This window comes from Homo sapiens, chromosome 16, assembly GCF_000001405.40.
Source record: "Homo sapiens chromosome 16, GRCh38.p14 Primary Assembly".
Taxonomy (NCBI): domain Eukaryota; kingdom Metazoa; phylum Chordata; class Mammalia; order Primates; family Hominidae; genus Homo; species Homo sapiens.
Window position 1 is genome coordinate 47,849,209 of NC_000016.10, and position 16,424 is coordinate 47,865,632.

General features: G+C 46.3%; 2 long non-coding RNA genes across 2 annotated transcripts in view, besides 1 other annotated feature; one reads left to right on the plus strand and one right to left on the minus strand.

Annotated features, from left to right (window-relative positions):
- Positions 106 to 16,424, minus strand: part of LINC02192 (long intergenic non-protein coding RNA 2192) — a 37,817-nt gene continuing 21,498 nt past the window's right edge. The window contains exon 2 of the long non-coding RNA NR_110649.1: positions 106 to 740. This is a non-coding gene — a long non-coding RNA (long intergenic non-protein coding RNA 2192). The remainder of the gene's footprint in view (positions 741 to 16,424) is intronic.
- LINC02133 (long intergenic non-protein coding RNA 2133) overlaps positions 9,373 to 16,424 on the plus strand; it is a 49,851-nt gene continuing 42,799 nt past the window's right edge. Inside the window, exons 1-2 of the long non-coding RNA NR_110650.1 lie at positions 9,373 to 10,721; positions 14,238 to 14,391. This is a non-coding gene — a long non-coding RNA (long intergenic non-protein coding RNA 2133). The remainder of the gene's footprint in view (positions 10,722 to 14,237; positions 14,392 to 16,424) is intronic.
- Positions 15,300 to 16,260: an enhancer, noted in NCBI's record as "OCT4-NANOG-H3K27ac hESC enhancer chr16:47898419-47899379 (GRCh37/hg19 assembly coordinates)". NCBI's record gives its function as "activates a minimal SCP1, AML or CMV promoter by ChIP-STARR-seq in primed H9 embryonic stem cells {active_cell/tissue: H9 hESC(primed)}" and the evidence as "EXISTENCE:reporter gene assay evidence [ECO:0000049][PMID:30033119]".

Consider the following 16,424-nt stretch of genomic DNA (forward strand, 5'->3'; position numbering starts at 1 on the left):
TGGGCATTTTTTGGGCATTGTAGTAGTGGAGTAGTACCCCCACTGAGTCCAAGCCCAGGGAGGGCACCGTGTCTGAGAGGCTGAAGAAAAGACCCAGAGACAGCGAGCAAGACATAAGTTTTATTGGGCAACTTAAACGTACAGGGAGTCCAGGAGTGGCTGGATGAATGGGGTAACCACTATGGTTTCTAAAAAGCACCCAGTTAATATAGCAATCTTTGCTTAGCAACCTCCACCTGGCCACCTCTTCCTGGCGACCTCTACCTGGCCACCTCCACCTAGCTCAAAACAAAGGGCCTTGGTTCCCCGCACATGCTGTTCCAAGAAATGGGCCAGGGGTTCACCTATGCTCCATAGATAAGGAGTAAACCTCTGGGTTGGCAGCTCCCAGATTCCTTAGTTCAGAGCTCAGAACCAACATTCTTGGACTACAGGATCATTCTCAGCTATACCTGAGTTATTGTCAGGCACACCTGTCATATGGTAGTTTGCACATAAGGAAAAAAACCCATGGAGATGGACTTTGGGTAGCTTACAATCTAAAAGGAGAGAAGGACAGAAAGCATGCCTGTTACTGTGCCTAGAGGGCTGTGGAACTGCTCTGATGACACCTGCTTCCCCTCCTTGGCCCATGTGACTCCCTTTCACCCAATGACACATGAAAAGCCTGATACGTTGTGTGCTTTGCTGGGCTTTCTCCTTTCCTTCCGGCAATGTCCAGGGGCTCTGTTCACTGGGCCCTGGAAGAGAACAACAAAGAGGACAGTGTCAATGGCGATGCAGGCACAAAGCCCCCAGCTCATCTGTGGTTCCTATATCGTGTAAGCAAGAGATAAACCTCTGTAGTTTTAAGCCCCAAGATTTTAGTGATGTTTGCTACCACAGCATACACTAGCCCCTGACTGATAAATTTCGGATCAGTTCTGAGTTGCTGCAGAGATTAACCTTAAATTGATCTTAGCTGACCAATGTTAACTTATCTTCATTTTAGAGTATCTGAAAAATACTTAGAAAATCAATATAAAAACATAGAATTTGGGGGAATGAAAGAACCTTTGAAATTTGTCCAACCTAGGCATTCTACTATTGACATTCTGCTGTATTTTCTTGTTCACATACATCTCCACCTGTCATCCCTCTGTTCTTCCATTAATCTACCTTGGATTGTGCATTTCAAATATGTTCCCATTGTAGCATTTAAAAATGATTATAATTCATATTACTGATTTTGGCCTGGGTTAGACAGTTGTTACTTACTGTTGATTTCATTAGTTGTAAAGCTCAAATGAGATGAGTATTTGAAAAGTTAAAAACAGCTCTCAAATATGATTATCTGATGAGTGTTTATTGAGAATGTTAGTGACTGGCAGTTTTTTGTAAGAGCTTGAGTCTGGACACAAAGATCAGTCACTGTCCTTGGATTGGACTTATATGGGCACTTCACTTTAGTGGCAAAGTTTAGGTTTCATTTTACCGATAACAGTAATTTTAATATAGCTGTCAAGATCACCAGTGACAATCATTATAATAGACATATTCACAGACACAAGGGTTCATGGACCTCAGCACAGTTGCTTGTGCCTGTGGGAAAATCACTTGAGCTCAGGAGTTGGAGGCTGCAGGGAGCTATGATCACGCCACTGCACTCCAGCCGGGGCGACAGAGTGAGACCCTGTTCCCCTGCACCCCCGCCCCCTGCCAAAAAAAAACCCACAAAACTCTTTAATTTGCCTCTTAGTTCTCTCCAGACCTCCAAGGCATTTAATCTTAAGTCGTAGAGTAGATACATACTTTCTAGAACAGCTGTTCTCACACACACAATCTCCCATTAGCATGAATACAGCTAACATGACGTGCAACAGAGACGGAAAAATGTAGTTTTGAAAAAGATGACATGGGATGGAGTGAGCTCTCCCCTGCTCTGAGTCCTCAAATGCCTTTTGTGCTTTTAGAACCAGTTTTGGGGAAGTGAGGAGAAAAACTCTGTCTGCCAGGGCTGAAGAGCACAGGCAGCCTCAGAACCAAGGGGCAGAAGAGATGTCATGCTGGTCGGTAGTATCCATGGCAACTCGAGTGTCTGGTGGAGTTAATCACCCCGTTTTTCAGATCTCTGCTGCTCTCCTTTGATAGGGGAAAAGGGCCGGGCTTGGCTCCTTTTTCATTTTCATGAATGCCCCAGTTGATGCATCGTGTCAGAGGCACCAGACCCTTCTGACTCAATGGGACGAGTCAGGCCTGAATGGGACCGGGCATCTGTGAGGGCTTTGGGCAGCCTGTGGGGTTTCCCACGAGACACAGAGCAGTGTTTGCTGCAGACAGCCTCCTCCTAACAGAAAGAAAACTATCTCCTCTTGCTACACCTCACATCAAGTTTGCCTTGGTGTTGCCGCATCTCCTCACCCCATCTTCCTTTCTTGGCATCTAAGTTGATGGCCATGAAATGCTCTGAGAGGTTTAGGCTCTGGGGTTGGACGATCTATACTGAAATTCCAGCTTGGCTGCTCAAAACTTATTTATTCTTCTTGTGCTCAGTTTCCTCACCTCTGAAAATACATTTTTTTCATTAAACACTTTTTTTTGGAGAGGTAGGGTCTTGCTGTGTTGCCCAGGCTGGTCTCAAACTCCTGGCCTGAAGTGATCCTCCTTCCTGGACCTCCCCAAATGCTAGGATTATAGTTGTGAACCACCATGCCCTGCCCAGTTTCCTCATCTCTAAAAATCACAGGAGTGCCAACCGGTTAAGACAAGCTGTGTTTAGAACGGCACCTGGGGTGTGTTTTAATGGTGCTGCACGTGCTGCTGCTAAGGGGTTCACTGAGGGCTGAGGCATGCCTGTGGTGGGGGGTGGCGAGGGCAGGGCTATGATCAATGCTGGGTGGTAGGTGAGGTTGACATAGGAAGATGAACCGATGATTCTGTGACTGGAAATAGCTCAAGCTTATCAATTCCTCCCTAATTCTGCCCCAGCCTGCAAACCCCGCTCATTTTCCAGGCTTCCCCATCTCAGCAAATGACAAAAATTGGGCTTCTGCTGTGATTATAGTTCTAGGCACTTGGATCAGTTAACGGAACAGTCAAAACATCCTCACCTCCATGAACCTAGAAGGGGAAGACAAGAAGAAAAACATAGCAAACAAGTAACGTACATAGGATTGTCAATGTTCTCCAGGCAAGGGCCACCAGGAGCACAGGTGCCGCTGCACGCTGCAATGACTGCAATGAGGGAGGCAGCCTCAGGTCCCCTGGTATGTGATCTCCTTCACTGCAACAGTGAGACCCTGTCCTCTCCACCCCCCCAACCCCCCCCCCCAAAAAAAACAACCCAGCTGCGTATGTGTTCCTGGTGGGTTTTGGCTAGAGGGCATGGACAATATGTTAGGAGATAAGGGTTATAGAAAAAGCAAAGCAAGATACAAAAAAGGGGGAGATTAGGAGTACCGTGGGGAGCAATTTTGAGTAAAAAGTAGGTGGTCATCGTAAGTCTCCCTGGGAAGGTAAAATCTGAGCAAAGATGTAAAGGTGATGAGGGAAGAAGAGAGAGCATTCCTTCTAGAGGCTCAGCCAGGGTGGAGCTGAATGGAGTCTTCCTACCTGGTGCAGTAAAGCCAAACGTCCACACTCAGGGTTTGCAGTGAGAGAAAGAGGGGCATTCATTTGCAAGACGCCAAGCAAGGATAATCAGGCAGCTCACACTTAAGACCTGACCTCCCTGATGGCTTGCATGCAAGGGTTTTTTCAGGCAGGGAAAAATTTCAGGAAAGCAGAAGTTACAGGTAAAATCATAAATCAGCACATGGGGGTTACACATTGGTGTGGCCTAAAAAGGTGGGATATCTGAAGTCATGGGGCTAAAAGGTCATAGGTGGGTTCAGACTCTGATTTGTGATTGGTTAAGGAAGCGAAGTTTTTTCTAAAATCTTGGGGTCGGCAGAAAGGAATGGTAAGATCTGACCCGTGGGCGTGACTTCCTCCAGGCCCCTCAGGAAGAAATTGAGAACAAAGATCAGGTGGTCAGAGCTTTGTCTTGGTTTCCCCTGGTCTGAGGTCTGTGTGCCAGCGGATCCATTTGGTGGGGATCTATCTGCATTTCTCCTCACTTCTCAGGTGGCTCCTTTACTCCTCAAGGCTAGCTGGGTGCCTGGACTCTCCCGTGAAAGAACTAAATATTTTTCCTTTATTTTCATACTTGGGCAGTGAGGGTGGGGGTGAGGGGTGCAGCAGGCCCTAAGAGGGGTCCCTGTTCCATCTCAGCCCTAAGCGGGAAGCCTGTCATTCCAGGAACAGCCAGGCCACTGTGGCTGGGGTCATCTCATTTAGTGGGGTGGTGAGTGGGGTTGCCTAAAATGAGCAGGGAGGTAATGGCCGGGTCACTCAGGGCCTTGTGAAAACTTCGGCTTTTATGCAGAGGTAAACAGGGAGCCATTGAAGGGTGCTGAGCAGAGGCGCGGTGTGATCCGATGGACGTTTTAACAGGATTGCTTTGCCTACAGAGTTGAGAGAAACTGTGGCGGGCCAAAGGACCAGCTGGGAGGTTACTGCATGGAACCTCCTGTCTCTCTTCATTTCCTCCCCCTCACAGCTGCCCAGGGCCCTCGGAATGAAAAACAAACCCCTTCACGCGGTGGGTGAGGTCCCGCCTGACCTGGCCCCATCTAAGCCCACGCTATTCTTTGTCCTCCTTTCTCTCCTGTCCCCAAGGCACGTTGTTCGTGCAGCCACACTGAATTTGTTTTGTAAACACATGGAGATGGCACATCCTCCCGGAACTCCCAAATCCAGTATTATCCCTGGGACATGCTGCCATCCTTCCGAAAACACCGCGGCCACCTTTCCATTGTGTGGTATATGGTCACTTATTCTCTTCACTTCCCCAACCCCAGCACACAAACGCACACACACACACAACCCCAGCACACACACCTCCAAGACACACACACAACCCCAACACACACACAACCCAACACACACCTCCAACACACACACACACCTCCAACGCACATACACAAACACAACACACACAACCCCAACACACACCTCCAACGTGCACACACACAACCCCAACACACGCACCTCCAACGCACACACACCTCCAACCCGCATAAACAACTCCAACACACACACCTCCAACGCGCACAAACACAACCCTGACACACACCTCCAACGCACACACACAACCCCAACACACACACACCTCCAATGCACACACACACAACTCCAACGCACACACCTCCAACGCACACACACAACCCCAACACACACACACCTCCAATGCGCACACACACAACCCCAACACACGCACCTCCAGTGCACACATGCACAACCCCAACACACACACACAACCCCAACACATGCACCTCCAACGCACACAATCCCAACACACACACCTCCAACGCACACACACCACCCCAACGCACACACCCCTCCAATGCACACACACACAACCCCAATACACATGCACCCCCCAACACACACACACAGAATCCCAACACACACACACTCAGCACACACACACCACCTTAACGTACACATGCCTCCAGTGCACACACACGCACAGCCCCAACACATACACACAACTCCAACACACACACACCTCCAGCACACACATACATCCAGCACACACACAACCCCAACACACGCAATCTTGACACACACATCCCAAAACACACACAACCTCAACACAAACCCAACATACACACACCACACACATACCCAACACACACACACACAACCATAACACACATACACATCCCAACACACACCACATACACCACACAGAATCCCAACATACACACAAACAAGCCCAGCACAATCTCAACACACACATACCCAGCACACACACACAACACACATGCACACCTCCAACAGAATTCCAACACACACACACCCAGCACACACATACCCAGCACACACACATCCAACACACACACACAACCCCAACATACACACACACAGAATTTCAACACAGACACACACACACACCCCTGACTGTAACTCTCTACAGTCTGCCTTGTTGAGTGTTGTAACTTAGTGCCAAGCACTATGCCTGGGGTATAATAGATGCTCACTAATTATTTTTAACTAATGAATGCATACAAGGCACCAGGCCAGCACTTTACACACTATTTCTAAATTTCACAAAAAACTTGGGAGACTTGTACATGATCCTTATGCTACAAAGGATGAGATGGATGCTGAGAGGCCTTGTCTGCAGTCAGTCATCAACCTCTGTGAGCTTCAGGCTCTTCCTTGGAGAGTCAGGATAGGGATGTCAACCTTCAAAGTGGGGCTGGAGGAAGCACCAGATGTGCTGGGCACATGGTTGTTTCTTCCCTGCCCTCCCTTCGTGTACCTTACTGGCCCCAGCCCAAGGAGGGCAACACAGAACTCTGGGACCCAGAATCAGCTGGGGACAATCCCCTGTTCTGAGAGGAGGCTGGCTCAGGAGCAGCCAGGGTGGCAGGTGTTAAAGATGGTGGGAGGAGCAGCGAGAGGCCCTGACCCCTGCAGGATGGGTCAAGATGCCCACCAGGGTGGTGGAGGATACAATCACATTCATGGGGAGCACGAGGTATGCCTGAGTCTGGAGCACAGCTTCCCAGCCCCAGGCCCACTTGGAGGTCCCTAGGGCCCAGTGGGCACTAGTGCACCTCTGGACCCATGAGCTTCTGTGTGTGTTGGGGTTGTGTGTGTGTGTGCGCGTGTTCAGAGGCCCCAGTGGGCTGGTGAGGCCGCTGCAGAATCCAGTCCAGCTGGTCTTTTATCTTGCCTGTTCTCCATTATGTGACCTCCTGACATACTGCCTCTGCGGGCAGGGCTACCCAAACACTAGGTGGACATTCTGCCTGTAGCTTTTCCCATGCTTATCGCTCACCTTGGCAAATCCCTTCCCCACAGTGCTCCACTCTACCAATAATAATCCACCCTACATGTGAAGAAACTTTGATATTTAAAACCCTACTCCTCCTTTAAGGCTGGGGCCTCTTTCTCATTTCCCCTTCTCCACCCAGGGGAGCTCATTGCTCCTCTCTCTGCATGCTCATCGCCTCTTTTTTGTGCTGTTTCACACTGCATTTGTGCTGCTCACTCAGCAGGTAAAGTCAATGAGTAAGGCAGCCTTGGTGTAAGGCAATAAGGAATGAAAGGGACTAGGGCAAACCGGAGAGCACACGCCCCACCCCAAAGCAGCAGCCAGTCATCTTGTCAGTTCCTACTGACCTTTGCCATGTAAGAATCTGGCCTCAATGCTGCCACATTTGATATATTTAGAAGAAACCGGAAACATGGCTTTGAATGTGAAATACTAGTCCTATCTTTTCAGTATTGGTAACAAATCCAATTCAGAAAAAAATATAGGGACCAAGCAAACTTGGTCTGTGACCCCCTTTTTATTTTTATCTTACCTAGATGGTAGACTTTTTGAGAGTGAGTCAAACAGGTAGGGCAGAAGTTGCAAATGATGACTTATTCCTCTTTGGAAAGGTTCTACTACCCAGAATTACCAGATGAGCCATGTGTCTCTCAAGAGACCAGGGTCCTACTATTTATTACCAGGTGGGTTTCCAGAAGGGGTCCATATGGGGCTTGAGGAAGCTAGTGCCTGGAGTGCTGAAATGTCCCAGGAATCTTCCAGTCATAACCTGTGACTGCACAGAGCAGTGCCTAATTAATGTCTATGGAATGAATGCACATTTTATGAGACAGCTCACTTATTCTGCAGCTGCAGGGAGATGGGCCATTTTGGCACTCTGATAGGGAGTCCTGGAGAACTGAGCCAAAATTTTAGTTTCTCCATTTGGGGGATGTGAACTTGGGCAAGTTATTTAACGTCTCTAATCCTGTTCCGTCACTTGAAAAATGGGGATAGTAAATAGATATCTTTCATTTTGTTGTGAGATGAGCGATAATATAGTTAAAGACTTGGCACATAGTAGTCAATAACAGCTATTAACATGGGGATCATGTAAGGATATACCCCTAGCCACAGAGGTTGGGTCCTGGATAGGCATGAGACACGGGTAGGGCCACTCAGAGACATGGCCATCCTTTGCTAAGATTTTTGCTGGAAATATTAGTAAAGCAAACCTCACTCTCCTGGGGAGGCTAAACTGGTAAGATGTAGGTAAGATGTTAAGATGTAGGTAATAAAATCGTTATATATACACACATATATATATATGTCCAGCTATACATATATATATATATGTCCAGCTATATATATATATGTCAGCTATATATATATATGTCAGCTATATATATATATGTCAGCTATATATATATATATCAGCTATTATATATATATATGTCAGCTATATATATATATATATGTCAGCTATATATATATATATATAGCTGGACAATGCGAGCTCAACAGAGTGAGATGGGGTCTCCCTTTGTTGCCCAGACTGGAGTACAGTGGTGCGATCATAGCTCACTGCAACCTGGAATGCCTGGGCTCAAGGCATTCTCCCATCTGCACCTCCTGAGTAGCTGGCACTACAGGCACACATCACCCATGACTGGCTAATTTATTTTTGTAGAGACAGGGTCTGGCCATCTTGCCCAGGCTGGTCTCAAACTCATGGCTCAAGCCATCCTTCCACCTTGGTCTCCCAAAGTGCTAGAATTATAGGCATGAACCCCCGCAGCTGGCTGGAAATATTTTTTTGACATTTGGATCCTGCTGTGCCCGAAGCTGAACTACCCCCAAGTGTCTCTATCATGGGAATAGTATGTCTTCTTTCATGCTTAGGTCAATTTCAGGTGGGTTTCTATCATCTGTACCCAAGAGTCTTGACCACTATAAACCTCTCTAAAGGGAAACAGGGGACCAGTGAAGTACAATGAGTTGTTTCTAAATGCCTATACATGGTGGGGATTTGGAGGAGTGATTTCTGTGTCAGCCAGAGGTCTGCATCTGTACAGCTGATAATTTATGGATGGAATACAGTGGCTTTCAAAAGATTCCTATTTATCTCATGTGGAGGGTTAACTGTATGATAGTACCGCCTTCCTGGTCACAACAGGGAAGCAGAGGCAGGGGAAACAGTGTGTTTGTGGAAGCTTGAAGTGAAATTGTTTTTTACAAATTCCTGACTCCAAGACCTTAGGAAGCAGGAGCGTCTCTGTTTTACAAGATTGATATCAAAACCAGAAACAACAAAGGAGCTATGACAATTTGGCAATAAGGTTTGGCAGCCACCTGCTGCCCTTGGCATCTCAGATCACTCTGAAGGACCTGACTCAAGGTAGATGGGTGTCCTTGTCTGTCCTTAGTTGCTCTGATTCCTGATCAGCATGCAGAGTTTCACAAGCCATGACTCAAAGTCAGCCACGAGGGCACAGCAGCCATAACCCTAGCGTCTAGCACCTGGTACAAACCGATGGCATCTCCCAGGCATTTCTGAACCATTTTCACGTGCCTCTACTCTCCGGCCGTCTCCACACCACCCTGTGTTCTGCCAAAGGGAGCTAAAATGAGCCCTGTTTTACCAAACCACTCAAGCACGGCTGACACAGTGTGTTGCTGCAGAAGGATCGGGGTGGGTGGGAGTAGGGACAGTGCAGAGAGAAAGAAAGGAGTGCATGCTACATCTCTCCCTCTCCAAGAGGACTTGGCAGAAAGCCCATGCATGTTTCAAGCTTGTTTTGACAGTTCCATGACAGGAGTCATAGGGCTGTAGCTGTAGAAAGCCCAAGAAACACATTTTTGTTATCCCATCAAAATCTTCCCGGGGAGCTACATTGTTGGGGCAAGTTATGTGTCATCACTGGCATCAAAAGAGAAAAAGAAATGAATGATCTGGCTCAGGTGCCAAGGCTCTCGTCCTGAGGAGGGAAATGACATTTATTGAGCCCCTGCAATAGCAACAACAAATTATTATTATTGGGCACTTTGCATGTGCCAGGCACTGGGATAAAACACAGGCATGGACTCAGCAATCCCGATGACTGTCCTTGGATACAGGCTGTGCTAATTATCCCCCTTTTAAAGACCAGGCAATGGAGGCGCAGAGGGGCCAGGTGATGTGCCCGAGGCTGCATGGCAGTAAGTGGCGAAGGTGGGATTTGAACTGGTTTGCCTCTCCCAGAGTCCAAATCCTTCCTTGCAACGCAGAGCTGCTCTGACTGTAAGGAGTGTGGGGTCTCTCCTCAGAGTCCCAGATACTCAGGATCTCATTTAATCTTCGCAACAACCCTGAGGCATAGGGGTTTTTAGATCTGCTTTACAGATGAAGAAACTGAGGTCCAGGGAGGCTTAGTGATGCCCAAAGCCACACCTCCAGAAGCAGCAGGATCTGCAGGCACAGCTGGGTGTCCTGGCCCTGGGTCAAGCGACTTTCCTACTGACTTCCACCCACAAGGGCTGCATGATGGTTAATACTGAGTAACAACTTGATCAGATTGAAGGATGCAAAGTATTGTTTCTGGGTGTGTCTTCGAGGGTGTTGCCAAAGGAGATTAATATTTGAGTCAGTGGGCTAGGGAAGGCAGACCCACCCTTAATCTGGTGGGCACAATCTAATCAGCTGCCAACGAATATAAAGCAGGCAGAAAAATGTGAAAAGGCGAGACTGGCTTAGCCTCCAGCCCATATCTTTCTCCCGTGCTGGATGCTTCCTGCCCTCGAACATCAGACTCCAAGTTCTTCAGTTTTGGGACTCTGCCTGGCTCTCCTTGCTCTTCAAGCCTGCAGATGGCCTATTGTGGGACCTTGTGATCATGTAAGTTAATACTTGATAAACTCCCTTATATATATGGATATATACATATATGGATATATATATGGATATATACATATATGGATATATATATGGATATATACATATATGGATATATATATATGGATATATACATATATGGATATATATGGATATATATGGATATATATGGATATATATGCATATATATATACACACATATATGTGTGTGGATATATATGATTATATATGTGTATATATACATACATATACATATGGATGTATATGTATATATGGATATGTATATATGTGTCATCACTGGCATATGTATATACATATACACATATGTATATACATATATGTATATATGTATATATGGATGTATACATATATATGGATATATCCTATTAGTTCTGTCCCTCTAGGGAACCCTGACTAACACAGGCAGCCAAAAGGACCAGCCGAATTTATATATAGACAATCAGGAAGTCTGTATTTTTTCTTTTTCTGTCTGATTTTGATCCTTTTCTTAGTGCAGAAAGGTATAGCAGGCTCTTTTGTAGTCATGGTGTGCTGAGAAGGGCACTCTCTCAGTTGGGGGCTTTGCTTTCAAGCAATGGTAGCACATTTGAGCTCAACTGAGTAAGAGGGATTCATTGGAAGGATATGGGCTTTATTATTTTTTCATTTAACAGCCATTTACTGAGCACCTAATATGTGCCAGGCACAATTCCAGGTGCTGAGATACTTCAGAGAACAAAACAAAGATCCTTGTGCATGTAGAACTTGGTTTCTTGTTCAGCAAGGGGGAGGGGAAGGGGAAGTGTGGGTGGACAGACAGTAAACAATAAAGAAAAAGCAAGTACAGCAGGTCCTCAGATAATGTAGTTTCATTATAACATTGATAAGAAAAAGAAATCAATTCCAGGCCGGGGCCCCTATCTTTGTGGAGTCTTCCACATTCTTTCCATTTCTGCATGGGTTTTCTCTGGGCACTCTGTTTCCTACCACATTCATAAGCTGTGCACATGGGATTCACTGGCGTGTCTAAATGGCCCCAGTCGAAATGAGTGTGTGTGGGGGTGAGTGTGCCCTGCGATGGGATGGTGTCCTGTCCACAGTGGGTGCCTGCCTTGTGCCCTGAGCTGCTGGGATGAGCTCTGGCCACCTGCGACTCTGAACTGGAATAAGTGAGTTGGGAAATGAATAAATGAATGAATGAATGAATGCAAATTATTGTAAAATAAAAATTGTGTAAGGTCAATGATAATCCCACAAATGCATGACACTAAATGATGTGGCATGAATGTGTTCCGTGAGCCTGCCATATTTGTGATTATTTGTGAACTTTGTGGTGGCTGGAGGTGCTCCTGAGGCATTTGCTTTGCAAACGTTTATTCCCTGGTTTAACCCACTATGACTATGACCACTGGGACTCACTGATTCACCACAAATTGGGTAAATAGAATGAATAGGATCTAGTATTTGGTAGTACAAAAGGGCAACTATAGTTAATAATTATTTATGGTATATTTAAAAATAACTAAAAGAGTGGGCTTGGGATATTCCTAACACCAAGAAATGGTAAATATCTGAGGTAATGGATACTCCAGTTACTCAGATCTGATCAGTAGGCATTGCATGCCTGCATCAAAACATCATGTGTCCCATAAATATGTACAACTCATATGCAGCCGTAATCCAAAAATTAAAAATTGGGTAAATAATGATCGTATTTGTTTTTGTTAATCATTCTTAAATGGATGTATAGATCACATTTATTTCAATGTTTAATATCAGAAGTGTTTTGGGTCCTTATTTAGGAGACTGGTGATGTTTCTGTGACCAGAAATATGCTGTAGGAACATCACTCTTGTTTATCTCAATTAGCCTATGGTAAAAATGGTTTCATTATATGTCATTTCGCCTAAAAGTTGCAGTTTCCAAGAACCTATGGATAGTGTTAAGTGGGGAATTACTGTAAGCTATGGGATATGTGAGAAAAACAAAAGCTGAGCAAGGGCAAAGGTATTAGGAGTGCCCGAGTGGTTGGACAGCCATCCAGGGAAGGGGAGACCTGAGTTGGTGAGGGGTTAGCCATGGGGTCTCTGGGTGAAGAGCTGTCAGCCAGAGCTCCCGAAGGCAGACACATGCTGGTGTGTTCTAGAAGCAGTAAGAAGGCCAATGTGCTGGTGCAGATTGAACTGGGAGAGTGGCAACAGGCCAGGTCAGAGAGGCAGAAAGGGGCCTGATATCACGTGGGCCCCTGAGGGCTGTGGCAGGCACTTTCAGTCTTACTCTGAATCAAATGAGGTGCCTGCAGGGTCTGAATGGAGGACTGACATGCTCTCATTTTCTTTTTTGAGACCGAGTCTCACTCCGTCACCCAGGCTGGAGTGCAGTGGCGCGATCTTGGCTCGCTGGAGTGCAGTGGCGCAATGTCAGCTCACTGCAGCTTCTGCCTCCCAGGCTCAAGTTATTCTCCTGCCTCAGCCTCCCGAGTAGCTGGCATTACAGGTGCACACCACCACACCTGCCTAATTTTTGTATTTTTAGTAGAGACGGGCTTTCACCATATTGCCCATGCTGGTCCCCAACTCCTGACCTCAAGTGATCTGCCTGCCCTGGCCTCCCAAAGTGCTGGGATTACAGGTGTGAGCCACCATGTCCAGCAGGCATGCTCTGATTTTTGTTTTGGAAGACGCACTCTTGTTTCTGGGGGGAGCAGACAGTAGGAAGTGATGGAAGAACCAGGAGGTAAATCCTGCAGGAGGTGATGGTGGCTGGGAGGTGAGAAAAGTTGGGTCCTGAATCAATTTTGAAGGAAGAGTCCACAGAATTTCCTGGCAGGTTGCATGTAGAACGTGAAAGCCCGAGTCAGGTGATTCCAAGGTTTCTGTCCGAGTAACTGCAAGAACAGAGTTGCCATCTGCTGATGGGGATGGCTGTGGCTAGAACAAGTTTGCAAGAGAGACCAAGGGTTAGATTAGGAGTTCGGGTGCCTGCTAAATATTTAAGTGGAGATGTCAAACAGGTCTTTGGAATGAGTCAAGGTGGAGACAGAAGCCTGGGTGGGAGCTATATTAGTTCACAGAATCAAAGGTAATTAGGAGGAAATAAATAACCCTACTGATTTTGGAAAGGACAGGAACCACAGCAATTTCTCAGTAGGAAGAACATCAGGGATTTTCCCCAAAGGAAAATCAGAATGTTCTGAGCAAAATAAGGGGAAAATGAGACAGGGCACAAGAAATAACCAGAGGCGTCCACTGCAGGGTCCTGTCCCGGGCGCTTCTGACACTTCTTTCCAGGTCTTCCTGCTGTTGCCAAAATGAGGGTAAGTGATGTTCCTGACAGCCTGCGTTCCCATCTGCCTAGAAAAATCTCTATGGCTAGGTGAAGAGTGATGGCACGTTTAGCCTATCTTATTAAACACTGCTTATCTACTAAAGGCAGTCAGCAGCATGTTTAATCAAAGTCAGGGCAGATGTGGTTTGCAGCATCCAAAAGTCATTTTTCATCCTGTTCTCTCTCCCTTAGAGAAGAACAACCTCCTGCCCTTGCCCTGAATCCTGAGGAAGGTGATGCACTCACAACAAGGGCATCCCAGTCCTGGGGAAGGGCAGGAAGGACCCACCCTCATCAGTCCCTGACAACTCCCACCCTTGTCCTTGGTCACCTTGGAAATGAAAAGGTAGGTGGGGAAACTAGAATAGAAGTCCAAGAAAGTCTGTAGTGATCTCATTTCTACACAGATGGGGAGTGGGGTCATTTAAGCCAAAGAAGAATCAAATCACTGCTTTTCCCATCTTGGCACTTCCCACTAGAGATCATCCAGTGTTGAATGGACAGGTTTCATTTTTCTTGGGTTTTCAAGAGATGATAGCTTTTTACTCTGGAAAAAAAGTTGTCCATGAGTCTGTGATCCTGTGTCTTCCATTCCTTCCCAGAAATGTCTGAGGAAATAAACTGTATCCTGCTGTTATGGGCTGTCCCCCCAAATTCATCTGTTGAAGTCCTAACCCCAGGTATCTCAGAATGTGACTGTATTTAAAGATAGGGTCTTTAAAGAGGTAGTTAAGTTAAAATAAAGTCATTAGAGTGGCTCCTAATCCAACACGACTGGTTCCTCACAAGAGAAGGAAATTTGGACACAGACATGTATGAGACAGGACTATGTGAAGACCCAGGGAGAAGGTGGCTATCTACAGAGCCAAGGACAGAGGTGTCAGAAGCCAACACTGTCCACACCTTGATCTCAGGCTTCCAGCCTCCAGAACTGTGAAAAAATAAATTTCTGTTGTTAAGCCACTCAGTCTATGGTAGTTTATTATGGCAGCCCCTGACTTGAGTGAAAGATTCTTTTAACCAAACTCTAAAGTTTAACTATTTTATTTTGCCTTTCCTTATCAGAGGTGAAAAGGAAGGGCAAAGATTTCAAATGGAGTCGTGAAATGAAGGGCACCCTTCATATCCGATTGTATTGGAAAGGAGAGGAAGGAAGGGCTTCCTTCCTCGAATTATTAGCAAACACTTGTGACTTAATGTTTAGATGTGGGGAAAAGCAAGAGAGATCAGATTGTTACTGTGTCTGTGTAGAAAGAAGTAGACATAGGAGACTCCATTTTGTTATGTACTAAGAAAAATTCTTCTGCCTTGAGATTCTGTTAATCTATAACCTTACCCCCAACCCCGTGCTCTCTGAAACGTGTGCTGTGTCAACTCAGAGTTGAATGGATTAAGGGCGGTGCAAGATGTGCTTTGTTAAACAGATGCTTGAAGGCAGCATGCTCCTTAAGAGTCATCACCACTCCCTAATCTCAAGTACCCAGGGACACAAAAACTGCGGAAGGCCGCAGGGACCTCTGCCTAGGAAAGCCAGGTATTGTCCAAGGTTTCTCCCCATGTGATAGTCTGAAATATGGCCTCGTGGGAAGGGAAAGACCTGACCGTCCCCCAGCCCAACACCCGTAAAGGGTCTGTGCTGAGGAGGATTAGTAAAAGAGGAAGGAATGCCTCTTGCAGTTGAGACAAGAGGAAGGCATCTGTCTCCTGCCTGTCCCTGGGCAATGGAATGTCTCGGTATAAAACCCGATTGTATGCTCCATCTACTGAGATAGGGAAAAACCGCCTTAGGGCTGGAGGTGGGACCTGTGGGCAGCAATACTGCTTTGTAAAGCATTGAGATGTTTATGTGTATGCATATCTAAAAGCACAGCACTTAATCCTTTACATTGTCTGTGATGCAAAGACCTTTGTTCACGTGTTTGTCTGCTGACCCTCTCCCCACAATTGTCTTGTGACCCTGACACATCCCCCTCTTTGAGAAACACCCACGGATGATCAATAAATACTAAGGGAACTCAGAGGCTGGCGGGATCCTCCATATGCTGAACGCTGGTTCCCCGGGTCCCCTTATTTCTTTCTCTATACTTTGTCTCTGTGTCTTTTTCTTTTCCAAATCTCTCGTCCCACCTTACGAGAAACACCCACAGGTGTGTAGGGGCAACCCACCCCTACATTTAGAAAGTGTTTTCAAGATAATTTTATCTTAATAGGCTAACTGCAGAAAATATTTATAGATATTCCCTGAGTGGGCAAGCCTGTGGGACATCTTTGGCAGTATTTAGACACCTCTGCAGCTTCACAGCAATGCTTCATTTTCTTCTGACAGTTGCCTCATCCACTTTTCTTTAGGAAATGTTTGCCAAGGGAAAAAAATTATTC